The 27,046-nt window shown below is 51.1% G+C and overlaps 1 long non-coding RNA gene across 1 annotated transcript, besides 4 other annotated features; it reads right to left on the reverse strand.

Annotated features, from left to right (window-relative positions):
- Positions 10,027-10,096: a silencer, noted in NCBI's record as "silent region_12721". NCBI's record gives its function as "represses an Ori minimal core promoter by ATAC-STARR-seq in GM12878 lymphoblastoid cells {active_cell/tissue: GM12878}" and the evidence as "EXISTENCE:reporter gene assay evidence [ECO:0000049][PMID:35858748]".
- Positions 10,027-10,216: a biological region, named in NCBI's record as "ReSE screen-validated silencer GRCh37_chr20:23097446-23097628".
- Positions 10,034-10,216: a silencer, noted in NCBI's record as "fragment chr20:23097446-23097628 (GRCh37/hg19 assembly coordinates)". NCBI's record gives its function as "represses an EF-1alpha promoter that drives an FKBP-Casp9 reporter gene in an ReSE screen in phorbol 12-myristate 13-acetate-treated (for megakaryocytic differentiation) K562 erythroleukemia cells {active_cell/tissue: K562(+PMA)}" and the evidence as "EXISTENCE:reporter gene assay evidence [ECO:0000049][PMID:32094911]".
- Positions 11,484-11,663: an enhancer, noted in NCBI's record as "active region_17630". NCBI's record gives its function as "activates an Ori minimal core promoter by ATAC-STARR-seq in GM12878 lymphoblastoid cells {active_cell/tissue: GM12878}" and the evidence as "EXISTENCE:reporter gene assay evidence [ECO:0000049][PMID:35858748]".
- Positions 18,293-25,861, reverse strand: LINC00656 (long intergenic non-protein coding RNA 656). Its single transcript, NR_034149.1, has 4 exons — positions 25,724-25,861; positions 22,190-22,390; positions 21,854-21,954; positions 18,293-19,763 (listed from the first exon to the last, which is right to left on the reverse strand). It is a non-coding gene; the product is annotated as a long intergenic non-protein coding RNA 656 (long non-coding RNA).
- Positions 25,862-27,046: the final 1,185 nt, after the last annotated feature.

The following is a 27,046-nucleotide window of genomic DNA, read 5'->3' on the forward strand; positions in this document are numbered from 1 at the left end:
ACTGCTGACCACAAGAACAATCGAGCAAAGGCTGTGCTGGGAGGTGCTGGCAAAGCCCATGAGAGAAACTAGAAAAATTCATGTTTCATAGACCCAGAGCCTCTTTAGAGTTTCACGCACAGAAGGACCTGCCATGTGAGCAGTGGGGCTGCATGGCCCAGCCTGAGTGCTTTGCTCTAAGCTGACCTTTGGGGTCGTGCACTGTAGTAACTTAGGGCTGCATCCATCCTGCATGAGGCTGCTTTCCTCTTCTCAAATATTACTTGTTTAAAACCTACTTTCAGAAAGACAACTAGATTAGGAATCGGGAATGCTGTGTTATCGCAAAGCTGGTAGCAATTTTAAAATCTTGAAAGAAGCTTGTTTCCGCTGTGAGCCTCAGTATTCAAATATACTTGTTTAAGGTATTAAAGCTCTAGCTCACTGATGCTATAAGAGTAAAAATGGCAAGATGTGAACAGATTTTTAACACTCTGTGTGTTAAGATCTGTTAGTCACCCTCAGCCTCGGCATTGTCCACATCTACATCATCTGCTTTGACCTGGAGCAAACTTATTGACTCTCCAAAGACCTCATTTTTCTCACCTTGACCTGGTGATAACCCATCACTTGGAAAAGCTTTTGTGGGTTACATCAGTTTCCAGCAGGCACATGGCTATTAGGGGGACTCAGCCTCTTGGGGATAAAAAGCAAAGCAACTTGGAGAGTTCATGGCGCCATGGGGCTGCAGGAAGGAAGGTAGCCCTAGCCTTCAGCCCCAGAACTGGCTGCAGGTGAACAATCTGAAGACAATCAAGTCCAGACTGGATGTCAGGGTCCCAGGGGTCATGTGGTGGATGATTAGAGACCAGAGTTTGGAGGAGTTATGCCAAATCCCCGGAAGCATGGAAATCCCCCACCTCTGCCGAATGTTACTGGATTGTGAGCTCCCTGCCCTGCAGCTGGTCAGTGAGGCTCCCACAAATCAGTACTGACAAATCCACATCCAAAAAGCCCACTCATACTTTGTAGCTCTTGTACATTATTTGTGATTTAAACTATTAGTTTCTCTCCCTGGTTTAAAGAAAGGTGCTTGGGGAATTTTGGATAACTGAATACCTGCCATCCCTAGATGGTACTCCCAAGTCTATGAGAAAGGGAGGTTTTAAGAGACCAGACCAGGCCTAAGTTGATCTCTTACACTGGAGAGTGTGATAGAGTTAGGGGTTTTGTTTGCATGCTTTTCAGTTGTGATTTTAAAACCACCTACCTTTCTCTCACCCATAGTCTTGATACTTGATGTGAGGAATAACCAGAAGAAGTCAACCCTGCTAACGTCACATGGCAGGGCACACAAGCTGGTGGCTGTGTTATTTTCCAACTGAAAAATCATTTATAAATCATTAATATATGGATTCCACCAAGGATACATACAAAAAAAAATGGTTTAGATAGAGGAGCCTACTCAAACATGCTCAAGCCTGGGTGCAGACATAGACTCACTCATTATTAAAGCTTACCCTGGAAAGAGCCACGTGAATCTTTTTGGGAACAATCATCCCATGCTCCAGCTGGAGGGAACCGGAGGCCTTTTTCTTCGGCCTTTTGTTTCACAGATGCAAAGAAATCAGATCCAGAAAGGTTAAGTGACTTGACCATGTTGAAACATCCGGTTAGCGACAGAAGCCAAACTAAAATCTAAGTTGTATGTGTGTGTAAGTGTGTGTGAGTGTGGTGTGTGTGCACGTAGGTGCACAGGTGGAAAATCTGTGTGTTTTTCTCCAGATCCTCGCTCTTAAGAGAGTCCATTCTAAGACAATCATCTTAATTACAAAATCAGTGTTCTGCATTAATATCATGAAACCATTATTGAAACAAAGTAGAGTATTGTACCAATTCAACAATAGTAGTATGATTAGGTAAACTGTCATGTAAACACATGATGTGTTATGCATCAATTAAATTATGTTGGCAATGAGTTTGTGCATATACAAGGCAATGTTTATCTTTAAACATTCAAGTAGGAGAAACCCAAGATCTGAAACTCTTCAGAGTAACCTCAACTATATCTAAAACTTTGCAGAAACCTGATGACCTGCCTGCAGTGAGCCTCTCTGGGTAGTAGACTATGGATGACTTTTTGGTTCCAAAAACATCTCTGTATTAAAGTACAATTCCTAAACTGGAAGGAAAATGGGAAGGTGTAACTAGAAGCTTGCATGCGGGCTCCTGACCTGGAGCAATTTGGTGACTTTGCCTGTTTTGCAGCTCTGGTCAGCACCTTGGCACATCCAGGGACCAGAGGTTGCAAGAGGACCTCTTTCTTACAAAGTCAGCAGTTTTGTTCCATGTCTGGCATGAGTTCAGCCACACAAGGATGGCTCTGGGGTTGAAAGTCCCCTTTTCTGGCTTCCTCCGGTGTGCTTTACTGACCTACCTCAGAGACCACATGTGGCCCTTGGGGCAGGTTCTCAGGCAAACGTCTGCCCCACTCCTTGAGAGAGAAAATGGGCTCCCAGTGCCCTGGACTTTGAATTCCTTTGTGTTTACTTCCCCAAAGCATCTTGAGAATTCACAAGCTTCTAGGCTTTTGCTGTGACCTCCAGTGGGTTTAGAATGCACCACGCACCAGAGAGGAGAAGCCAAAGGGTGGATGCGATGGTTTCCAGCCCTGGCTTTGGCGTCCAGTGGGAACCGGGCCGTCTCCCCCTGCTTTCCCCTTTACTGAACTTTAGTGTGGCTTGTGGTAGAATGCAGTCAGTTCAGGCTCTGTGGCCACCTGCTGAGTAAAGACTGGACCCTCTCCTGAGGTCCAGGCAGGCCATGGGAAATTTGAGTTATGTTCATTAAACAATGGCAATCTCTGCTTTTCATTTTCCTGACTTGGAGGGACTTGCTGGGGCAGGCAACACGCCCAAGGTATTTGTTAGCAATCACGATATGTTGTGTGGTGGGCTCGGCCAGATATGGGAGGAAGCTGAAGTCCTCCATGCTGCTCAAACCAAGGACACTGCCCACCGCCCCAGGACTGTACAATAATAAACAAGTCCTTCCACTGAACACTGGGGTGGGGGAAGCAGAAGGTGAAGCTAATTTTAAGTGTCCAGGAACTTATTTGAAACAATCTTGACCCAAACTGTTCTGAAGTTCTGTAGGAAATTGCATCTGCTATGAATTGTGGAGTTGGAGCTGTCTAGACCAGGATGGAGGGATATAGGCAGAGTGATGGGTATACGCAAATCCATGGAGGAGAGGGGTGCCAGGACCCTTTACACCCCAGGAGGGCACATGGGAAGGAGGGTCTGGTGGAGAGGAAGCTGAAGAGATGGCTGGCTGTGGGTGTGGAGTTCAGACTCTCTCCAAGTGCGTGTGTGTTTTGGGCCAGGCTGGGAGGGGCAGGCGTGACTTGGGCCAGCTGTCCTCCAAGTGAGCTCCCCATAGTAGCATCTGCAGCATGGAGGATCTTGTTACAAATGAAAGTTCCGGCCAGGTACAGTGGCTCACACCTGTAATCCCAACACTTTGAGAGCCCGAGGCGGGTGGATCACCTGAGGTCAGGAGTTTGAGACCAGCCTGGCCAATGTGGCGAAACCCTGTCTCTACTAAAAATACAAAAATTAGCTGGGCGTGGTGGCACGCACCTGTAATCCCAGCTACTAGGGAGGCTGAGGCTGGAAAATCTCTTGAATCTGGGAGGCAGACGTTGCTGGGAGCTGAGATCTTGCCACTACACTGCAGCCTGGGCAACAGAGCAAGGCTCCGTCTCAAAAGAAGGAAAGAAAGAAAGGAAGAAAGGAAGAAAGAAAGAAGGAAGGAAGGAAGGAAGGAAGGAAGGAAGGAAGGAAGGAAGGAAGAAAGAAAAGTTCCTACCCCTGGATTAATGTCCTGGGGCTGACAAAACAAAGTACCACAAACTGGGTGGCTTAAAATGACAGCTCTGGAGACTAGAAGTCTGAGACCAAGGTGTCAGCAGGTCTGCGCTCACTCTGAAGCCTCTAGGGAAGGAGCCCTCCTTGCTCCTCTCAGCTCCTGGAAACCCAGGTGTCCCTGGGCTTGTGGCCACATCACTCCAAGCTCTGTCTCTATCTTCCCATGGCCATCTGCCCCCGTTATGTGTTTACATTTGTGTCTCTCTTTTCTCTTCTTATGAGGACCTCAGTCACACTGGATTAGGGCCCATCCTGAATGTGCCTGCCTTTGAACTTAGTTACATCTGCAAAGACCCTTTTTCCAAATAAGGTCACATGCACAGCACTGGGGGTTAGGACTGCAACATCTCCTTTTGGGGAAATTATTCAACTTATCACAAACTCCGTCCACTGAATGAGAACGCTGGGTTTTAGCGAGCCCTCCAGGTTAAGAAGTGCTTAACCTGGAGGTTAATGTGCCTGTGTTTTTCCAATAAATGCTCAGAGCCTGAGGCAATTGGAGAGCATGTCTGTAGTTTGCAATATACAGGGTTACTCAAAGTCAGGCTTGGGACCAGCAAGAGTTGGATCCAGAGATGCATGATGTTTTAGCAGCAATGATATTCATGAAGCTTTTTGCTTCACTCCTTGTTATGGTTTGAGATCCCACAGCAGACCCTGAGACAAAGACCTGGAGGCAGGTGGTTAACTTGGGAGGTGGGGTCAGGGGAAGGGAGATGGGGAAGGGAGAGGAGACAGGGCAGGTGCTTCCCGAGACTGGTGCTCTGTTGGGAGCTGGAGCACAGTCTCGAAAGGACAGGTGTGAAACGTCCAAGAGCTGACCTGCCAGCAGCTGCCTCCTGCCCCTCACCACAGAGGGTGGCTGAAGCTTTTATGCCCTGGCTCTCCCAGCTGCCCTGCACGGGCTGCTGCTCAGGCTAAGGACCGAGAAGTGCTGATGCTTGAGGGACTCATGGTCAGTGAGGACAGGCTGTGAGCTGAGCTCTGAGCTCGGGGCGAACCAAAGATGGGAGAGGAGCATCAGTGCCCCCCTCCCCATCACCACATTAGAATCCTGCGGGAACTGGCTGGGTTCTCGAAGGCGTTGTTATCGCCCTGTGCTCACACATAAGGACCCTGAGACCCAGGGCCACTAGGGTGAGGCGACAGGGCAGGGCCTGATGCACCTGTCGAAATCCACTTCTAGCTCCCACCCTGCCCCCAGAGACATGCGCCCCATGGGCCGGCACACAGCAAGGGGCTTCGGGGCAGGGTGAAAAAATGGCAAATACACACATTTAAGCCAAAATAATGAAATGGCCCTGGCCCTATCAGCCTCGAAGCTACATCAATGTCACTTTTTTTAAAAACGTAAGAGGAGCTGTGAGGACATCCAGCCCATGGTCACTCCAAACCTGCCACCACAGACAGTTGGGGCCTCCCCGGAGTCCGTGGGCCGAATTTCACAGGCGAGCATTCCCAGGGGTCCTCACCAGCTGACTTAGTCAGTTTGGGCTGCTCTGGCAGCCCCACAGGCAGGGGCAAAGGCAGAAATGTGTCTTCTCACAGCTCCGGAGGTTGCAGTTTCAAGATCAAGGTGTGGGTAGGCCCGGCTCCTCTGAGCCTCACTCCCTGGCCTGCAGATGCCCCTCTCCTCCCTGCTCCGCACACAGTCCTCCCTTTGTGAGTGTCTGCGTCCTCATCTCCTCTTCTCGTAAGGACATAGTCCTATTGCATTAGGGTTTCAGCTAGCCCCCAGGGTCTCACTTACCTTACTCACTGCTTTAAAGGACTTTTCTCCTACTAAGGTCAAGTTCTGAGGTGCTGAGGTGACAAGGTCAACAAATGAATTTTGGGGACACAATTCAGCCAGTATCACTTACATGTTCTGATTTTCCTCCCCAAAATTCTACATGCTACTAGTTATTACTATGCCCATTTTAGAAATTAATGAGATACTCAAAGAAGTGCAGTAACTACAGCAAAATGCCACAGCTCAGATGTCTCCAGCTTCAAAATCCAGAAGACCCAGACAGCTCCTCCAGCACAGGAAGCCAGGACATCAGCTATAACAGCTGTGTGGTTCCTGCAGGTGGAGTTTGGCCTTGCCCAGGTCCTTGGAGGCACGACTTCTGTGTCTGGTGGAACTGTGCAGCATGGCTCAGACCCACAAGCTGTGTGATGGCTTATCATCCCTGTGTAGGCAGGGCATGCTGAGCCAGGCTGACTGGACACCTCTGTTCAGGAAGCATTACCATCCTACCAGCAAGAGCAGGTGAATAGTTTACATGGTAATTAGCCAGCATGCACTGTTCCCATGTGTTCATTCATTTGTTGAAAAACAAAATAAGACAAAACACTCCTTCCTGGCCCTACTAGCTCCCTGGCTTTTCTAGAATATGCTAAGCACAGGCCACTTCAGAAACTGTGAGTTCACCTCTCCCCCTGCCTGGATACTCTTTCTTGTGGTGTTCTCCTCATAGCTCACACACTCAGCTTCTGCAGGTACTTGCCCCCTCCCCCACATTCCCAGGTCTTACCTCCCTCACCTCCCCATCTTCCTTCATTGCACTGGTCACCTTACAGCTCTACAAGAGCAGAGGCTCGCCTGATGTGTGACTAATCCATCCTTAGTACCTAGAGCAGTAGCTGGAGTATGCATCTACGTGGCAAAGGTACTACATGAACACATGGGTTCAGAGTTCAGCCCATTCCACATGCATCTGCAACTCTTCGTCAGGCCCCAGAATGCAGCAGGAGTTTGATACCTGCCATGGGGGCATAAGGAGCAGCAGGCATTGATTGATGGATGGGCTGCCTTACTCTGGTTTCTGCAAATAAAAATAAGAACAATCCAGTCAAGGTAGACAGGAAAAGCCCTGTTAAATTTCTCCTATCAGCTTGCCACTGGAATCCTGCTGCTGTTGCAGAGACCTGGAGACATGGATGGCTTTAGAGGCCCCAGCAGGCACAAGACCTGGTGCACAGGCCCGAGCCAGGCTGGAGAATGACTCAGAGGGCAGGGAGGATAGAGGACCACCAGCCATTTGTCCCGTGAGTTGCATTAGACCAGGAAAGCCAAGAACCACTTCAACTAGTTGAGGAAAGCTGTGCCTGTTATGCTATGTCCTTCAGAGAGCTTTACATTTTTACGAAGTCCAGAATAGCTGTTGGTCGTCTCACAGATACTTACTTACCCTGCTGCCTCAACCTCCCTCCACCATTCACTGTCCTGATGAAATCAGATGATTTGCGAGCAGAGCAACCTTGAGGGGAAATGACAGCCCCTGAGTTCAGTGTAGTCTCAGGCTGGGCACAGAGGCCAGGCAGCCCCCCGTGGGCCTGGGGTGGGCTGGGCACTGGGAAGGAATTGGCATTTGCTCTGCACCTGCTCTGTGACGAGGCACACACAGTTTACATCTAGGGTGCCACTGCATTCTTACATTTTATTTTAACTTTACATTTTATTTTAAAGAAACTCAGGCTTGGACAGTGAAAGAGACTTCCTTGTCTGTGGGCACACAGCCAGCCAGCAGCAGAACTGAGCTTCTTCCTGCTCCCAGACCAGCCCTTCCCCACTCCCCCACAATCTAGAAGCTGTTCTGGAAGCCGCTGACTGCCTCTTGTCCTTGAGCAGACTTCCTGAGGTCTACACCACCTCTCTGGTTCCTGGAGCAAGGAAGGCAGGTGTTTGTGTCTTCTGGCCAAGGATTCTCAGGAACCAAGAGAAGGGATGGTAACTTTGACACTTCTGTTTTCAGAATTGCTCCTTGTTCTTCCCACCGCATTAGAGCATCGACTGCTGCTTCCTCCAGTGGGACCCATCCTGGTGCTGGCAGGTTGCTCCAAGTGTGGGCACCGACACATGCTGGGCAAACCAGCCCTTGAACCAAGAATTCCATTTGCTGAGTCTGAGAGGCCAGGTTCTCTTTGGAGTCTCAGTTGTAGCCTGTAACATTTGGGCTCTCATAGGCCATATTTCCCACCGCTGTCCTTAAATAGTACTTTAGTCAGATCAGATAACATTACCATACGCTCTAACTCTCCTGTAACTACTAAACCGAAACATTTACAAATATGATAAAACAAGCCTAGAACACCAGAATGGTTCAATTTAACACAGTGATGTAACACAACAACAAAAGGACAGTTCCTGGCTAACACCAAGTCTCAGCCTTCAGAGCGCCATGGGGCTCACAGTGTAGGTTCCCCCAATTCCGAATTACTGGGAAACTCCATTTGCCCAGCAGGGCACTGGGCCCATGCGGCCTTCATATGACAAGGAAGTATCATTTAACCTGAAGGACTGCTTCTGGGTCCTTTTTGTTTTTGTGTGGTTTTTTTTTTTTTCTTTTTTTCTTTTTTTGACAGAGTCTTGCTCTGTCTCCCAGGCTTGGGTGCAGTGGTGAGATCTCTGCTCACTGCAACCTCCGTCTCCTAGGTTCACGCAATTCTCCTGCCTCAGCCTCCTGAGTAGCTGGGATTACAAGTGCCTGCCACCATGCCCAGCTAATTTTTGTATTTTTAATAGAGACGGGTTTCACCATTTTGGCCAGGCTGGTTGTGAACTGCTGACCTCAAATGACCCTCTCACCTCAGCCTCCCAAAGTGTGGGGGTTACAGGCGTAAGCCACTGCACTTAGCCATGGTTTTATCTGCCACAAAGAAAACGGTTCTATTGGGCCCTCTAAATGGAAGCATGGGCTCCGAGAAGTCCCAGCCATTCTGAGTTGCGTAGCGGGCCTCCCAGTCCCATAGGCCTGACCCCTACCTCTTTTTCTTTATTGCCACCCAAAAATGTCCCATACATAACATAACTGCAGAAAGCTGATTATCCCAAAGGAGTCATCTGAAAACCTGAGTTCTGTAAAACACTGATCTAGACTTTTAGATTTCTTACTCTTTTTGAGGTTTTATCCTCTAACTTTTTCTTAACTATCGATGTCACCTGGAAAGTATTGTTTTTAATGCAACGTGTCATAATAATGAAACTAAAAACCATCAACTTATCTCTACTAATGTAATTTCAAATTCCAAATGAAAATAAAAGGCTATCCAAATTGATAAATTCTTCTCCAATAAATTAATTACTTATATTAATCTCATTAATTTGACTAGAACTCAGTTTTCTTTCAAAAAATGTCTGCGTCTTTATTGTTGCATAAGAGTGGTTGACTGTAGTCATTTCCCCAAAAGTTCCCCAGAATAAATATAAAAAACCCAGACTGAGTGAATTTCAACTTTCGAGTTCCATGAGGTTGTTCTCTTGGCTATGAGATAATTTGTAGTCAGGGCTATGGTACTTCTGAGAACCCACACAGATGCTGCAGCTCTAAACCCAAGAAGCAGCTGCAGTTTCTTTCTCACATGATTACATTTGAAGGTAATATTGTGCAATTTACAAAGAAGGGAAAGCTCAGAGAGGTTATGCAAGCCTCCCAAGGTCACACAGTGAATTTATAGGTTGGGTCAGGACTCAAGCTTAAGTCTCGGGATTCCTAGTTCAATGTTTTTACCTTGGCTAATTAAAGGCTGGACTGACAGAAGAAAATTATTTCGAACAAGCAGCTTTCCTTATTTCCAAAATCCTGCTTTGCTGCTGGAGCCCCCAGGAATGCATGGGAGGCTCACTGCGGATGCAGTTCCTGCCCCTCTTTTCACGCCAGCTCCACATCTTGAGTCACAGTCATGCCCACTTTCTCTGGCATCATAGGTCTTAAGCAACTTTTTCTACTCACGTACATGTTCATACCAGGGAAATTTTTTCCATGCATGCGTTAGCCTGCATATTTACCCGGAATGTGCCTGTTTTATCTTCTGAAGGCATCACAGCAGGGTGGTGAACAGTGTAGCCTCCAGGGCCCAGTGATCTGCTTCAAATCCTGGATCTGCCTCTTAAATGCTGTGTGACATTAGACAAGTGATTCAACGTGAATGCCAGGAAAGCCTGGGGTCACACTGTTCCCCAAGCTGTGGCTGTCAGCTTCCAAAGGCTCCAGCCTGTCTTTGGATAGAAGTGTCCAGTTAAGGATGCAAGTGAATGTGGCTTATCTGGAGAGGACCCAGGAGGCAGCCTTCAGGGGCAGGGCCGTGAAGCAGGGCAGGGTGGGAGGAGTCATGAGCTCAGTGGGTGCGTGAGCAGGTGGCCTCCACAAACAGCAGAGCTCCATCCTGCTGGGCACCGCTGAGCATGGTCTGGAACACACCTCAGAGTGGTCCCTGCAAGACAGATCCCCTCCAAATCAGGCTGCTGCTCTCTGTGTATCATCTCCCTCACTGGCCCACGACTCACCATCTGGCCTTGGGTTTTAGACCCTGGAGCTTTTTTCTAGTCTGTCTCTCCTGCTAGGTCGTGCATGAGTCACTCAGACCCAATGCCACACAGGGCAAGCTGTACTGGGCTTGGAGCAATCTCAGATCCAGACCAGACCTTTGGAAAATGGGTGACTTTGAACCAGAGACTTACCTCACTGGAGCCAGTTTTTCCATTTGGAAAATAAAGAAATTTGACCAGATGATCTCTGACTGTGAAAACTGCAAAGCCCACCTTTTTGTTCATATTTCCAAATCCTACCTGTATGTGTTAGCCCTTCTCTCTCCATTAGTGAGGGTCTCGGCCGACCTTCTGCACTATTTCTGCATGCGTGGGGTGGGGTGAACTTGGCCTGAGCTTCTGCGACCGCATTATCTTCCAGCCAGGGGTGGATGCTCTGTGGGGATGCCTTTCCTGGAGATGGCCACAGCTGAATTCCAAGGCTCAGATCACGGGCACACAGTTTTAATTTCTCAATCATCTCACCTCAGGCATTTTTCTTTTCTTTCAAAGTTTGGCCTCTCAGAGTCCCTAGAGGTGAGGGGCCTGTGACTTTATTCTGTGCTGGCATTTGAAGAGAACATGAATTATTTTAATGATGATCCTAGGAATGTTGCTGAAACTACAAGTGAAAGCTCATGGTCAGGCATCTTCCGGGAGCAAAGTGGAAATGGCTGGGCTGCACATGCTAGGGCGGAGCAGGCCGCAGCATGTTCAAGAGACTTTCCATCAAGGGATCTGGTATTTTGCAGACATGGCTTTGTTTGTATCCAGGGGTCTTACGAAAAATACTCACCACCGACTGGGCACGAGCACCCGCCCCTCAGAACAGAGGCTGGAGCCGGCTCCAAGCCCTTGCTGGGTTGTAGAGAGCCCTGGAGGAATGGGAACCCTGGGGAGGGGTCAGGAGGCAGGGGACACTCTGGGACAGCGAGCAGCAGCTGCTTCCCGCCAGCAGGCCACACGCATGCCTACCAGGGCACATCAGCCATAACTTCTGAATGGAGTATTCAAGCCCTGCCCAGACCTCCCTTGGGCCACAATTTAACAAAAAATATTCCCTAGCAGTGGCTGCATGCCACTCTGTGTTGTACCTTGTACCTGGTGGAAGGCAGGGCCTGCCTTGCCCTGGCATGGGGCCTGCAGGCTTTAGGGCAGACATCCTCTGTTGGAGTGGTGGGCAAAGCAGAGGGCACCCTGGCTGCATTAGGTGGGAAGTCCGGTGAGGCAGATGAGGGGCTGGTATGAATGGCAACTCACTTGAGAAATTAGAAGCAAGAGGCCTGGAGTGAATATATCGTCAGTCTGAAGGTGACCAGCGGAGAGCTAGAGCTCTAACACGAGCGGGCCCTTGGGGAAATGCCCGTGAGAGGACAGCAGGGGGATGCCGCAGGAGGGGCAGTCCCTGAGCCCACGCTGACAGAGGCTTTTCTCAGAACAGCTGCAGCTGGGGTCTGGGCAGGAAGGAGCTCCAAAAGGTGTCCCTCAGGCTCTTCACTCTCTTCTCAGGCACCCAGGGCCCCCTGCTTTGGAAAAATCACCCCACACTCATTCACACTAGAGTTTAAATGACTTTCTGGGTAAAGAGTAAAATGCCGCAGCCCAGTGAATGAAATTCTATGTCATGATGAATGCATCAGCAAAGACCAGCGGGGAGAAGAGTTTGATGCCAGGAAGCTTGGCCCTCAAATCACTCACAGCCCTAGGGGAGAAGCTGGCTTTGGGAAGAGGTGTTACAAACCCACTCATGACCGAGCCTCTGACCAAGAACCCTTCGTTGTCAGGTGTTGCTGTGTAGCAAACCTCCGCAGTCCTCAGACACACATCCAACAACATCTGCTTTACTCACAAATATGCCATCTGGGCGGGGCTCATGCAAGCTCCTGGATCCCTCACCCAGCATGTGGGCTGGAGCAGCCGAGGCTCCTCAGGCATCTCTCTCCATCTCCCTGTGGTCTTGACACATGCACTCTCCAGCGTGGCAGCCTCAGGGTGCTGGACCTCTGACTGTCAGCTCAACACCATCACCCGCAGCCCATGCCCCGAGAGATCGGGCAGAAGTTCCATGCCCTCTACGGCCTGGCCTTGGATGTTGTGCAGCATCACTTCCACCACAGTTTGTTCATTGAAGCAGCACAAAGGTCCCCCGGGGGTATGAAGGGAGGGGACACAGTCTCTGCTTATGATGGGTGGTGGCGAGGTTCAAGAGGGGCACGTGGGGCCAGAAATATTGCTGGGGTCAGCGTTGAGTAATACCGTCTGCCACCGCCTTGTTCTCCATTGCCAAAACATAAAACACCTTAAACCCTCCCTGGGCTTTCCCACATGCTGGGCTGGGTCCATGCTCCTCCCTCTCCTTTCAAAAGAGTGGTATTTGTAGGTCTATATGCAAGCACATAGCCAGTCTATCATCTCTATACATCATCCCTGATTTGACAGTCATCCCAAAATGTCATTGTTATGGTGTCCATTTTGAAGATGAGCACACTGAGCTCCCGCAAAGCCAGGTAACTTGCTGGAGGCCACACAGCTAGAGAAGACCTGACCTCCAGCTGTGCGACAGCCAAGGCTACACTGTTTGGCTCACATACTTCCTTATTTTGTTCCGCATGAGAAAAAGGGCAGAAGGAGCCATGTGGGGTCACTCAGGAGACTGAGGGTGCACCAGAATTCTGCAATGGGGGTGACCTGGCTGTTGGGTCCAGTCCTGTAGGAGTTTCCCGTGCTCACTCCTGCCCTCAGGCTGCAAATGCGCCTTGAGTGCCCATACAGTGCCAGACCCTTCTTCAGGCTCTGGGGTCCTTCAGGAAAGGGACTAATGCACCCCGACTTCCTGGCCCTGCCCCTCTCCCTCCAGCCTTTTTGGTAGGTCCACCCATTTTAAGCTTCCTTCCTGTGCCTGGAACAATGACATGTTCTGTGCTGAGTGTACAGCCCGAGAAGTCCCAACCATCACAGGCCAGAGTTACAGAAACTGAGGATCTGTTGGGAGGGACGTCTGTCTACCCAGAGCCAAGGCGCTCATTGTTCCCACATCTCCTAGAGCTGGGCTCTGCGCCTCTGCCCTGCCCAGGCCTGCCTGCCGCAGCCCAGGCTTACCAGCTCCCAGCCTGCAACATCCTTGCTCCTGAGCCCGCTGCTTCCTTGAGCACTGGTGTTGAGGTTTGCTAGAGCCGTTCCATGCTCTTCACATCCCCCTAGACCCCGGGTGCTGCGTGCAATGACATAGAGGAGGTTGGCTGGGACCCTCCCTCAGCACCAGATCCACAGATGGATGAGTATCCCTAGGGCTCCCTCAACTCAGCATGGCTGAGCCTGATTCCCTCCGGACGGTCCGCACACACCATGTCCCCCTTTCCTCCACCTCCTACACTTCAGCAAACCCCATGCCTTCGTCCATCCCCAAATGTCCATTTCTTGCCACCAGCACTATGCCCTCCTCCCCAGACCACCCCAGTCCCTTGCCTAGGCTGTGGCAGCAGACACCTGATGGTAGCCCAGTTGCCCCTTGCCCTGTGTGGTGTGGCTGCAGAGTGACCCCTTTCTCAGTGCAAATCAGATACTAAGACACCCAAAGTAAGACCTCCCCTGGCCCGCTTTACGCTGCAGTGGCCATGCTTCTGTCCTCCCCTGCATGGCCACAATCCGGTCCTCTCCCTGCCCTTTCCTTCCTTGTCTCAGGTCAGCTTTGGGATGGGGTGGGATGGGGTGGAGTATCTGCAAACTAAGTTGAGCCCCAAGCACCTGACCATACACAGAGCAAAGACTGCAGGGTTCTTTCTGGCCTCTGGGCCCCTGATGTCTCCAACTTGAGCCTTGCGAGGGCAGGTTCCAGTTTTTCCAACCTTGCCTTTCTCAAGAAGGGTTCTGCCATGATTCACAACTGCCCATTGAAGGACAAGGTTCCCAGAGGCTCTTCCACTGCCTCCTGCTTGGCTAGGGAGAAGCACGCGTGTGGGGAGAAGCATGCGTGTGGTGGTAGCCGACAACTTGTCGCCAGCAGGGACCCTGGGCTGGGAGCCCACTGGTTGGTTTTGCTCACCTTCTGCACAGCACAGCTATTGCAGGGCTGGCACAGGAGAGACCCTCAGGAGACATTTGCTGATTAAATAATTGACTCCCATGACACTCCCAACTCCTTAGGGCACACTCTCTTCTCAGCCACCACCCCCCGCCCCCAGCCAAAACCCGCTAACTTTGTTTGGATTCCACCAAAGCCACAGTCTGGGCTCTGTCCTGCCTCACTCTGTCTCCCAGCACAAGCAGCCTAGACCTCAAGCACCTTCCTAGAGCACCGACTTCTTGCAGCTTTCAGGACCTGCTTCTGGTTTCCTCCTACCCTGCACCCCATCCCCCCCTCCATCTCTCAAGCTGCCCCTTATCTTGCCAGATGAGGAGGTTCACCACAGAAATCAGCAGATGAAGAAGTAGATACATGAGAAACTTGCCCCAAATCCAAGAAAGCAGACTTTCCTCTCGGAACTAGCCCCCTGCGCCTGGATGTTGTGCGGCAGGCCTTGTTTCTGTCGGGCAGATGGCTCCTGGGTTCCTCCCCTCCTGCCCCCCGCATGCCCCGCCCCACCCCCAGGACTGCTGTCACCAGGCATGTGTATCCACAAAAAGATGCTTGCCCAGCGCCCCTGTGCGTCCCATGCCTGAGCAAGAAGCTGCACTTCCTCGGGCCTCCCAGCTCTGGAACCTGCTGCTGGATGCCTCTTATCTGAATTGTGACTCCTCAAGAGATAAGAGCCTTTTTCTTAACAGAAAGGCAGGAGTTTGAAGCCTTCTGTATCCTGCATCTCTGAGCTCAGGCCTCCCGAGAAGCAGGAGCCGACTTCCAGCGGAGAGCACTGCTGCTGAGACCTGCCTGGTGGTCAGCTTGGGCTGGTGAGCCAGGGCCAGGCACAGGATGGTGGGGGTGGTGGGGGCTGCAGAGGGGGAGGGTGGTAGCCTGGAGGACCTGCTGGGCTTGCAGGCCCCCACCTGTCCTGGGGAACTGAGCAGAGGTCACGACGGCAGGACAAAGCCCCTTCTGAGAGAAGGATCTGAATCCATTCCTCGCTTCCAGGTTGTTGTTATTTTTGCTGTGCTTTTGATGACACCAGCACTGCCTCTCTACGTACAGCTGATTAGCAACCCTGATGATGACATTTACGGGGTGTTCATATGTCAACTAGAGCATCTACGTGTTCCTGTGGTTTTGGAGCAAGAGTGATTTGAGTTTCAGAGATTTTTACTAATTCTTCTTCCCCTACCAGAAAAAAAGATCTTACCATTTGAGAGTGAGATGTAAACCCAGCCCTGTCTGACCTGAGTCTGTGCCCTAAGCCTATGCTAAGCCAAGCAGTGCCTGGAGCCACCACAGGTCCACACAATTCGTTAACATGATGAAGCAAGGATGGAAATTGGACAAAATAGTGTGCCTACTGAATCTAAGAATGAAAAATGATTGCACTCCTACTCTGAGTGCTTTGGAGCACTGCCCAGTTGGGCAAAGGGTCAGCGCCTGGGCAGAGGTCCCCACAACCTGGCAGGAGTGTGGTCGGCCACCCTATGGGCCTCCATCATGTGCAGTGACAGCGGGGCTGTCATGTCACCGTGTGGGAGGGCTTGCAGGTGAAGTGGTCTGGGAGGGGTCCCCCAGACAAAGCCAAGGTTCTGAGAGTTGGCCCGAACACTGCTGGATTCCACGGCGGGGGCTTGGGACAGCCGGACTCAGAGACAGTAGGAGGTGACAATGTATATACATCACAATGATCACAATATAGCCCCACACGTGCCTTCCCCACCAACAGTCAGCTTGCCATGTCCCTTCCCCGACATCCCCATCTTAGTCCCAACACAGAGGCTCCCTCTGCCCTGTGTCTGTTTAGCCAGGATGCCACGGTTCTTCCCCCTTCTCCCATGTCCTCCTCCACACACCCTTCAAGGGCAACCCCAGAGATTTCTCCTCCATGATTTCTAAAGTCAGTGGTAAATCTGTTCCTCTTTAAAATCTCATCACACTGTTCACCACTTCCCCTATAATACAGTTCCGCATGGCCACGTCATACAACCCTGTCATATTGGTGAGCAATTGCTGTGTAGCCAAAGACCCCAAAACTCAAACAGCATTTATTATTATTGCCCCCATGTCTGAGAGTCAGATGTGCATTTGCTGATCTCAGCTTGTTTGAGCTGCTGCAGGGTTGGGGCTCTGCTCCAGGCAGGCTTAGCTGTCACCACATGCACACATACATTCTGGGCCTCTGCTGTGCGCGTCACGTTCACTGAAGATCTTGGGATTGGGAGTTAGGGCGGTGGGAGGGCCCAGCAAAGTCACCTGGCGATGGCAGGGACACAGGGAGGAATGTAGAATGGGGCCGATGATGGGACCCACACGTCTGCAAAGCTGCGGTCTCCTTGAGGGGTGGAGACAGCAACAACTCACCGCACGCGGTGCTTCAGTTCACCATCTCCCTGGGACATTAGGGGTCCCCGTGTTATCTCATTTTGCTCTGGTTTGCATTAGTTTTTTATCACTTCGTAGATGAAGCCACTGACACCCAGAGAGGGAAAGTGGCCTGACCAAGGGCCACAGCAGGGGAGCGAAGGAGCCCCACAGTCCGGCAGGAACACAGCCTCTCCCTGGCTTTCAGGTTCACTGACATCTTCTCATGGCCTCTGTAACTCACCAGGCATCAGGGTGTAGTCCTTAGACCAGTGTCCCACAGCTGCCACAGAGTGGGAGCTCACCATCAGTTATAAGTCACTAGAAAGGCTTTTGGACATTATAAGCTACAATGGAAAATAAGTCATCTGTGGATTTTTGTGACAGATTCCAAAAATTTGAATATTTTGTCTACTTAGGTTTTTGGTTAATTTTATCCTCAAAACTGTTCTGCAGTGATTAAGCTGTACAAACTGCACCATGGGCGAATTGGCATATTCAGAAATGACTGATATTCTTGATTTCAGTTTTTTACTTTGTATGTAGCTCCTCAAGGAAACATCATGTAACTTGATTCCCTGGGAAGGTCCAGTGCATGGCACGCATGGGCCAGAGGCCACTCTCCTCCATCCGTAGACCACACGTGTGGACAAGCCCCCAGCATGCCTAGAGGAGCAAGGCCAGGGCTGTGCATGCTGAGGCGCCCGTGGCCAGTGTCAACAGGAAAAACTAACTCCGCCAGTTGTACACGTCAGCCAGGTGTGGGGTCATGCATTTCTCAACCCTCGGGGACTCCTCAGGATGGGATGGAAGATGTGTAGGTAGATTTTGAAGAAACTGCAGATGGTGTTTCAGAGAGACGGTAGAACCATCCATCTCCACTGTAGCCCAGGAATAAAACTGTGCAGCTTGACATCCCCTCTCCCATTCAGGAATAAAAAGGAACAAACAACTGATACACACAACATTTGAATCTCAGAATCACTATGTGGAGTGAAATAAGTCAGATACAAGAACATCTGTATGATTCCAATCACATAGAATGAAAATTAACCTCTAGTGGCAAAAAGCTGGTCAATGGTAGCCTGGGCCCAGGAGTGAGAGGGGCCTGTCTGCCAAGGGGCACGGGGAACTTTAAGAGGGAGCAGAGATACACTGTGGCGGTGCTGCCAGGGCCCCTTAATAATGCACTGTGAATGTGCGCTTTGTGAGACAAAGTAGTAAACATAGGAAACCACGTTTGCTCATTTGTGCTTGGCAGCAGAATTTCACAAAGTGCCTGTCTCTATAACGATGTGCAGCTCCCCAGAAAGATGCTCTGAAGACAAAACAGGATGGAGCACACACCCTCTCCGGACTCTTGCCTGAGTCACTATATTCTTTGCAGATAAATGGCCCTGGTCTTACCTTTTCCTACACGTAAGATAACATCTGACAGGGTCAGTGATTATTGCTCTGTAATTGAATCCATAACCTGATGCACTCTGACACCCAAGCTTTCATGTGACTTTGCACGTACTGGACCTCCCACCTATATGTCAACTGTGACCTGAAATACAGAACCTCAGTGGAGGCTGCTCCAGGGCTCTACGCCACAGCCTGTAGTCCTCGGTAAGCTTCTGAAGAAGACGAACTTTAATTCTTTAAAAGCTTGACAATAACTTTAAATGGATATGATTTATTGCCTGTAAATTATCCCTCAATAAAGTTGATAAGGATAAAAAGAAAAACTCTGTGATCTGGACACAGAACGAGCAGCCCTGGGTTATCTTTGCATTCTAGAAGGGGCCTAATATTTGTGTTAGTAGCAACAGCAGTGATGGCTGGAAGCCAGATTGTGCTTACTTGCACCAGGTGCTGAGCTGGGCACTGTATGCATCGGAGGAGGGGCATGGTGGCATGCTAATAGACCTTTATTTACAGTAACAGGCAGTGGGGTGGGTTCGGCCATGGACAGAGGTTTGCAGACATCCCAAGTTAAGGCACTCTGGCAGGTGTGCCTGGCGGGTCTTGGGAGCTGGGCCTCCAGAGGTTTGTGCTGACAAAAAGGCCAATGACCCCTCCTCCTGGCATTCTTGTGGGGATGGATGTGATGGGGTGTGGCACACAGTGATCAGGCCAGGTAACGGTGACTGAGACGCAGGGAAAAGGTGTTTCATTTAAGAAGGGTCGAGGTCAGTCTCCCCTCAGACCCAGCTTCCCTTGAGCCAGCTCAGTCCAAAGAGCACGCTGCCCTTCCTTCCGCACACTGGAGCACGCAGCCCTGGACCCACATTTCTCAACAGGAGCAAAAAAAGGAAGTCGGGAAGAGAAGCACAAAGCCAGTGAGTGAGGACTGGGCTTGCAGCACCCCCAAGGGCTCCCCAGGGAGAGGGTGGTTAGAACATCTGTGAGATTGCAGTCTAGGGTGACTCAGTGGAGCAACTGTCAAAGGTGCTAAGCTGGGATTTCTCAAGGCCCATCTTCCCCAGAGCTCCTCCCAGCCACAGACCCACAAAGGGCCTCCCTCATGGGTCTCAGTTACACCAGCTTCTCCCCACAGCACCAACAATCCTGTCAGCTTCTTCCCAGGCAGCAGCAGGCCTCACATCCCCACCAAAAGGGACACCATTGTGATAGCCTGGGCTGCAGAGATGCACGCCCTGCAGGGACAGCTGTAGGTCTTGGCACAGATACAGTGGCCTGGGCTAATCTTGAGCTGGGCCTTTGCCTCCTGGGTTACTGATGAGAAGCTCTGAGGCTGAGGCCAGTGGATGCCCCCCAGACCTCTCCACTCTCCCCAAGCACCCAAGGCCAGTTCTATGACTGTCCTGGTGAGTGCCAGATGCAGGGAAAGTGGCCCCCTGTGTGGGGCAGGTGGCTTCTGCATTTCTGATTAGGGGGCCAGGAAGGAGGCATTCAGGAGAAAACACCAAGTCAGAAAAAAGGTTCCCAGGACTGGGGACGAAAGACTCAGAAGGAGGGGAAAGAGGAAGAAAGCTGTAGGGGAAGGGAAGGGAGGGGGATGAGAAAAACGCTGGGGAACACCACTGAAGTTACTTCAAGCTAGCAACACTGGACGCTCAGGTCTTCTGTTGCATGGGTTACCGGGTTACATGCCAAGGGCTCAGTGGCTGCCTGTGGCTGGTGGCTCCTGTACGGGACAATGAAGATACAGAACTCGTCCATCATCACAAAAAGTACTACTGGACGGCACTGGCAAAGCCTAACCACATGTAAACTTTACTCAGGACATGAGGGGTTCCTGGCCTTCCGCCCCCACCCCCGGGAGCCTGGGGCCTTGGGTTTAGGCTGTCACTCAAACCCAGGGTCTCCCCACCTCGCCACTGTGGGCATTTGTGGCCAACCACTGCCTGTGATAGGGACTGTCCTGGGCACTGTAGGGTGTTGAGCAACAACCAAAACCTATCAGATGTCACCCAGTGTCACCCTGTTGACAGCCACTGCTCTAAATGGAAACAATGTGGCTTTGGGGTGAAAGGGGACCTGGGGGAAGTCTGGATCTGTCTCCAGAGCTTGGAGCTCCCGTGGGCCTGGCAGACGCTGGGGGTCCAGGGTCACAGGCTGAACCTGAGATGTTCCAACAGGAGGGGCCTGCCTGAGGGCCTGGGCTCAGAAATGAGGGGGCAGGAGTACATGCAGAGGGGACCCCTGCCTAGGGAGCTCAGGTCCTGCCTTGCAGGGACCTGAGGGGCCAGGCTGGAGGGAAGAAAAACTAGAGACCAGAAGATTCTAGAACACCAGATACAGCTATAGCAGAAGGCAAGGGGACTTAGAGTGATTTGGGCACTAGGATCAGGGCTGATGCGGGAGGGCAGGCAGGAGTGCTGGGGGGTTGCCTTGGTGGGGTTCGGGGAGGGGACTGAGCTGGGGTCAGGGACAATCAAGAATTCCTGGAGGGCAGCAAAGTAAAGAGGTTAAGCTGAGAGGCAAGGAGGCATCAAAGGAAGCGAAGAGGTGGGGACCAAGGGGACCCCAAGGAGTCAGGACTGAGGGGGCTGCCTGAGTGGGAGAAGAAAGGAGTCTGGGCCACAGGATTCTGAGGAATCTCACTCCTGAGTTGGGACCAGTGGGAGCCATGAGCCTGGGAAGAAAAGGGGCCCTGATGCGGGGCCAGGCCTGGGCTGGAGATCAGAGCCAGCAGGCCTCACGGAGCAGGATGTGAGCAGGGGGCACAAAACGCAGGGAAACCCAGGGGCTGTGGGCCACTAAGGGCTGGGGACAGCACATCAGGGCCCTTGGCCTGGCCGAAGCACAGCCAGGAGGTTTAACTCCAGGTGGAGTGGGCAGAGGTTGGTACTCGGGTCACATGGGCATGGCAGTTAGTACATGGACCCGGAGATGCCTGGACTGGGGCCTGGGCACTGGAAGTTAGAATGGGGGACTTTGGTAATGGGGATTGGCCAGGGAGGAGCTGGCATCGAGGGGCCACAGGAGACAGAAACTAGGCAAGGCAGCTTGACCTCGGCCCGCTGGGAATCAGGGGTCTAGGAAAAGGAGGAGTTTGGCGTGAAGGTGAGAGGCACGGGTTCCAGGGCACATAGCCCTTGTCAAGGGTGGGCCCATGGCTGTGGAAGGGAGTGCTGTGGATTATTGGACACTGGGCAGGGAGAGGCAGGGTCCAAGACAGCCAGGCTCTGCCTTGGCTGGGGCCTAAGTAAGGGTTTGGGGACCCAAGAGAGGTCTGTAGGCTGGAAATGAGCTGGACAGGCCAGAGTTACAGGGCCTAAAGCCTGGGAACAGTGACCGGGCTGAGGGATGGGGCAGGCTGGCCCTGGGAGGCCGAGGGGTCCAGGGGTTCCATGCACTGCAGGTCACCCTGCTGCATGGATAGATGGTGAATGTGGTTTTGGCATGGGCAGTGGCACAGCGGGAAGAAGACTGTGAAGCCAGCAGCAGGGACAGCCACGAAACCCTCAGCCTGCTCAGCATCTCCCCCTTTCCTCCGTCATCCTGGTTGGTGGCAGCCCCTCCGCCTCATCTCTGCATGGGGTGGGGGGGTAACTTTATATTATGAACTAATCATCATGAGAACCCCATAAGGAAGACCATATGGTTATCCCCCTTGCACAGATATATTGAGTCACTTACCCAAGATCACACAGCTAATTAACACCAGCGCCTAATTCAAACTCAGGCAGCCTAGTTCTGAGGCAGCGCTATTCAATCAATATGCACTTAGGGAACAGGCGGCCAGGAAGTGCAGGTGGGCCCCACCCTTACCCCTGCTCTGTGCTGAGGCCGCTGCCGAGCTGTCTATTCAGAGTCAGCTCCTCTGGTGCTGGAAGATGCTGGCACTCAGTGCTCCATCGCCTCTCAGTGAGCTGATCATGACAGGAGAATGACAGAAAATGACCAGGTGTTGCCACCCACCACTGTGAGGCTGGTGGTCCCTGTCCCTTAGAGAGGGCGAGCTGGGCTCATGGGGATGCAGAGGCAGCTGCCCTTTCCCACTGGGTGACCCTGGTGGAAATCTGGGAGCTGAGGGTGTGGACTGCCTGCAGGGAGGCCTCACCTAATACCTCTAATAAAAGCACCCCTCGTGTGCCGGGCACTGACCTGGAAGTTGGAGTGACTCACTTGAGGCACCAGAAATGCTCGCTGCAGTGCAGATGTTAGGACCTGGGTTCAGAAAGCAGATCCCTAAATGAGCCTCTGGGGTCCACGGCTTCTGGTCCACGTGCCCACGGCTTGGTGAGGTCTGGGAGGTCTCCCTGAGGGAGGCAGGACTTGAGTGGGACCGTGAAGGGCAGAAATAACCTGAAAAGTGGGGACAAGGCAGAGGATAGAGAAATGGAGGGAGGGAAGGCCTCCCAGGGCACAGTCCTTCTCGGAGGCCCCGAGACATGCCTTCTCCCCAGTTACCCTCCAATAAAGGGAATGCAGCACCACAAGAAGACTCAGTGGCACCATCCCTGGCTGCAGAGGGGCCACCCAGCTGCTCACGGTGTCCTCACTCCATTCTCATTCTTTGCCTAATGCTGATGTCTCGCATGGAATATTTTTCTTATCTACTTTGATAAGACATGGAGGTCAGAAGAAAATAGTTCTCAAACCAGAGTTGGCCTAAAACACTACACAGGCTGTAAACCACAGATTTCCTTCTGCATACCATCCCTGCTTCCTCTTCCCATCTGACTGTAAGGGAAAGCAGGAACTCCAGAAAGGGGTCTTTGTAACACACTTCCAGGAGATTTTTCTGCAAGTGGTCTCAGGCCACACTTCAGGAAACAGACTCAGACCATCAGCACTGGAAGGAATGGTGGAGTTTGGCCAGCCCAGTGTTTCCAACTGTGCGGATAAGACCCCTGCCGGGATGACCCTGGGAGAAGAGGTGAGGGTGAGCAGGTGCGTGGGTGCAAGGCCCCTTCTCAACCCAGGCAGGTCAATGTTATGTTTATGTGTTTTTATAGGGGCTTCTGGTAGTATTAGGTATAAGAGGGGTTTCAATGCTTTTAAAAAAACAAAAAGGCTGCAAACCACAAATCTCACCCTACAGTGTCACTCATGGACAGGGCCAGCCGGGAGTGTGAGCAAGACACAGGGCCTTGATGTCAGCCAGACTGTGGCCTGGGCAATGGGGTTGAACTTTCCTGAGACTCTGGTCCATAAAAGGCAGATAACACCTTCCACCTTGGCCTCCAGGGGACAACCCATAGGCCCCCCCGGGGTCAGTTCCCTTCCCTAGTCCAGGACCAAAGGGAAGCCATTTCCCAGTTCCTGGCCCAGGCTCAGTCCACCAAGTATGGTGGGAAGGCAGAGGCACGGAAGGCTTTAGCGGTACCCTCCAGGTGTTTGGGGCATAGCTGGGGTACAGCACGCAGCCTGAGCCCTGTTGAGGCTGCTGAGAGCTGACAGAGTGGGCTTTGCAGGGAGACAGACACGGTGGGCATTCTGAGGAGGTGGACTATAGCAGCAGGCGGAAGCAGGGGGCCTGGAACCAGGAGTGGAAGAGCAGAAGAGTTTCGAAGCAGTGCAGCCTTCTGCTGGGTGTTTTGGGTAATTCTGAAGTTGGGCGTGGACAGGAGGGATGCATGAGGCTGGGCACCCCACACAGACATGGGGCCTAAAAATGCTGGGAATGAGAGTCACATCGGAGGACCCTCCACAGCCCCCGGCACTCATCCAGGCAGTGATGCCTCCAGTTCACACCCTGGGTGGGGGGCAAATGTTAGTATCGACCTCCCTGAAAAGTAGCAAGGAAGGCTTTTTTCTTTTTTTTGCCAAAACTTGCATAAGACTTAGAAAGTTCCAAATGGCTCTTCTTGCTTATCCAGCGCTTTTGGCTGCCTGTGACACACTGTCCCTGAAGCACCAAAATTTCATAAGAGCTGAGGATAAAACCCAAAGAGGGCCACTCTCCAAGTCACCCAACATCCCAGACTTCACACTTCACAGGGTGAAAAGAATGTAGTCTTCTAAACATGATGCAAAGGTGTTAGCAAACTCAGAAGGTCTAAGTCACAGCAAGATTTTCTTTTATTCCACTTCCCTGCCAAGGATTTCAGTGGAACAAAATAAACCAGACCTCCAAACAGCACGACTAAGTGTGAAAGATTCAGTTATCTTTAGGTTTCTTCAAGCAGTATTTGGCAAGCCGCTGTTTTTGGATCACGTATTTTCCACAATAAGTCAATAGATATTCCATTCAAAAAAAGAAGCAAAATGAGTTTGAATGTTTTGTCAAATTATGCTTGAGCATAGCTGTATACTTACCCTGGCTTGGCAATTAAAATATTTATTAGCATATTAAATTCACAAACAACTATAAATAAAGAAACCTGGTTTACTTAAAAGCAGTGTTGTCCATTGGAAAACATGGCATCATGCTATGGATTGAGTGCCCTGTGTAATCCGTAGAGAGCTCACTCTGGATGACTTAAGCTATATTTGAGCACTCTGATTTTCCGTATCTTGATCCAGATGTTTGACATCTCAAGAGGCATGGAGGCCTGGTGTGGTGGTTCAGGCCTGTCATCCCAGCAATGTGGGAGGCTGAGGCAGGAGAATGGCTTGAGCCCAGCAGTTTTAGACCAGCCTAGGCAACAACCTGAGATCCCAACTCTACAAAAAATAAAAAAAATCAGCCAGGCGTGGTGCATGTGCCTGTGGTCCCAGCTACACAGGAGGCTGAGGTGGGAGGATCGTTTGATTCTAGGAGGCTGAGGCTGCAATAAGCCATGTTTGCACCACTGCACTCCAGCCTGGGTAACAGAGGGAGACCCTATCTTTAAAAAAAATTATAATGAAAAATAAAAAAATAATTTAAAAAAGGGCATGGTGTAGCCTGTGCTACTGAAGGGTCCTTTATCTCTGTCAGCCATTCCTAAAGTCCACTAGAGAATAACAAAATATTCTTTTTCCACCAATTGGTATTTATTTCTGTGATAACTGAAGAATTCCGCCACACAAGCATCACCCGGGTCAGCTGCCACAGACAGTGACCATATTTGTGAGGCTTACATGGTGACCAGGAGCTTAAATTGACCTCAGACCTCAAGAATCTCCTGATAATCTGACCACGATTAAAACGTGGCCCACAATCCTTTCAGCACGTGAAATGACTGGCCAGGCTTTCCAAGAATCCCAAAGACTTCAGCCCAAACAAGAAGCTGACCTCTTAGACCAGCAGCAGATCATCCTACCGCGGCCCTTTTCCTTATTTGTTAAGGCCCCGCTTCTTGTCATTATATCGTCAGCACGATTATTCGGTGTGTTTTCTGGTTGTGTGGTTTATGCACTATTTATTTCCTGATTCTTATCTTTTTCTCCAAGAATAGCAGCACAGACATCAAGTCAATTTCAGCATGGATTTATTCTGCCTGGAAGGTGGGTCCCAGTCACACTAGTACAGAGGTGACAAAATCATGTGTGTCCAGCAACTAAGTCCGCAACGCAGTCCCATTTAGTCCTCAGGGAGCTCATATGGCAGAAGGACTTGTTTCCCAGGAGAGGGCCGGGGCCTGGAGCAGGCTGATGGATTGCTCCTCCAGCAGCTGCAGAACTGGGCCTAGGACCGGGGCTCACTCTACCACTCATCTGCCCCGTCTCCATTAGCACCTAGCCTCAGAACAGCATTTATGAAGCACTTACCACACATACCCAGGAAAGGCTCGTGTTCTGCAGTGGTTACCTTACAATTCAGAATGAACTTTGAACAAATCCCTGAAGACAACGAGGCTGGCCGTGGATGTGCAGCTGCCTTGCGCCTTAGTGTGTCATCTGTAAAATGAGGTAATAGCAACGTATGTCTCATGGGTTACTACTGTCAGAGTCAAATGAGGTAATTGTAGGTAACGCCCTTTGCACAGTGTCAGGCACACCATGAGAGCTGGAAAAGCGTTGGCTTTTAACATTCCTCTTATTCTTCCTTTCTGTTTTCTGAATTTCTGGGTTTCATATCGAAGTGTGAAGAGGGATGAGTTTCAAAGGAGGTAGAGAGTCCCTTAAGCTAAAGGTTTTCCTTTGGAGGGCTGGGGGCCAAGAACACGAGAACCTTCTCTATCTGCAGGGCCTGGTCTTGCTTCCACATTGTGGAACCAAGGGCCAGCAGAGAAAGATAGAGACTAACCCCAGCCCCAGGCCCCAGAGGTGGGGGCTCCAGGATCACAAAGACCCCAGCTTGGCTCCGCCTCTCTCTTTCTCAATGCATGAGCAGCAGCACTGAGGGGACTGGGGCTTCCTGGAATTTTAAAAAGGGTTTTTCTAACAATTCCTGGAACTGTGAAGTCAGTGGGGAAGGTCATGGGTGGAGTGAGGTCATGGGCCTAGCTCCAGAAGTGTGCCGACAGATAAGGCGCCTTGGTCTGGGGCTCTCCAGCCTCTAACGCCCAGATGGCTTCCCTCTGGGGCTGCAAAGTTTACAGGAGAGACCAGATGATGGCACTGACAATGGAGGGTGGGTCTCCTCTACACTTCCCACCCCAATAGCTGCCTTTGCCCTAGAGGGGCCCAGACACATTCGTTGGCAGTAAAAGCTTCACCCTCCAGAGCAGAAGGGGAGGCCCACAGGCTTCTCCCTGAACTTCATCATCCCAGTGGATGCAGGGTCGGGGTATTTAGGGCTCTTTTCTAAGGAGCTGCATTAGGATCTCGGCACATTTTTTTCTTTGTTAATTTTGTTTATCTATCAATTCAACTTATTTGGGCTAAGGCCAGAAAAAGATTAGCTGGGATTTAGGGAGCATCCGTATCAGTTTATTGTGACTGTATTATGTAGGCGTCATTGATACGATGCAAACTCACTTTAAATGCCAACAGGCATCAGCAGGTGGAGATAGTAAGGTTAGCGCCCTTCACTAGAAGGCACAGACACTGGTTAGGGAGGGAGGAAGGCAGAGCCAGCAGCCAGCTCCTGTGGTGCCGGTTATCAACCGGTTATCAGATGGGTGCTGTGAGCAACTGATCTCCCTGGCT

This window comes from Homo sapiens, chromosome 20 (genome assembly GCF_000001405.40).
Source record: "Homo sapiens chromosome 20, GRCh38.p14 Primary Assembly".
NCBI classification, from domain to species: Eukaryota; Metazoa; Chordata; class Mammalia; order Primates; family Hominidae; genus Homo; species Homo sapiens.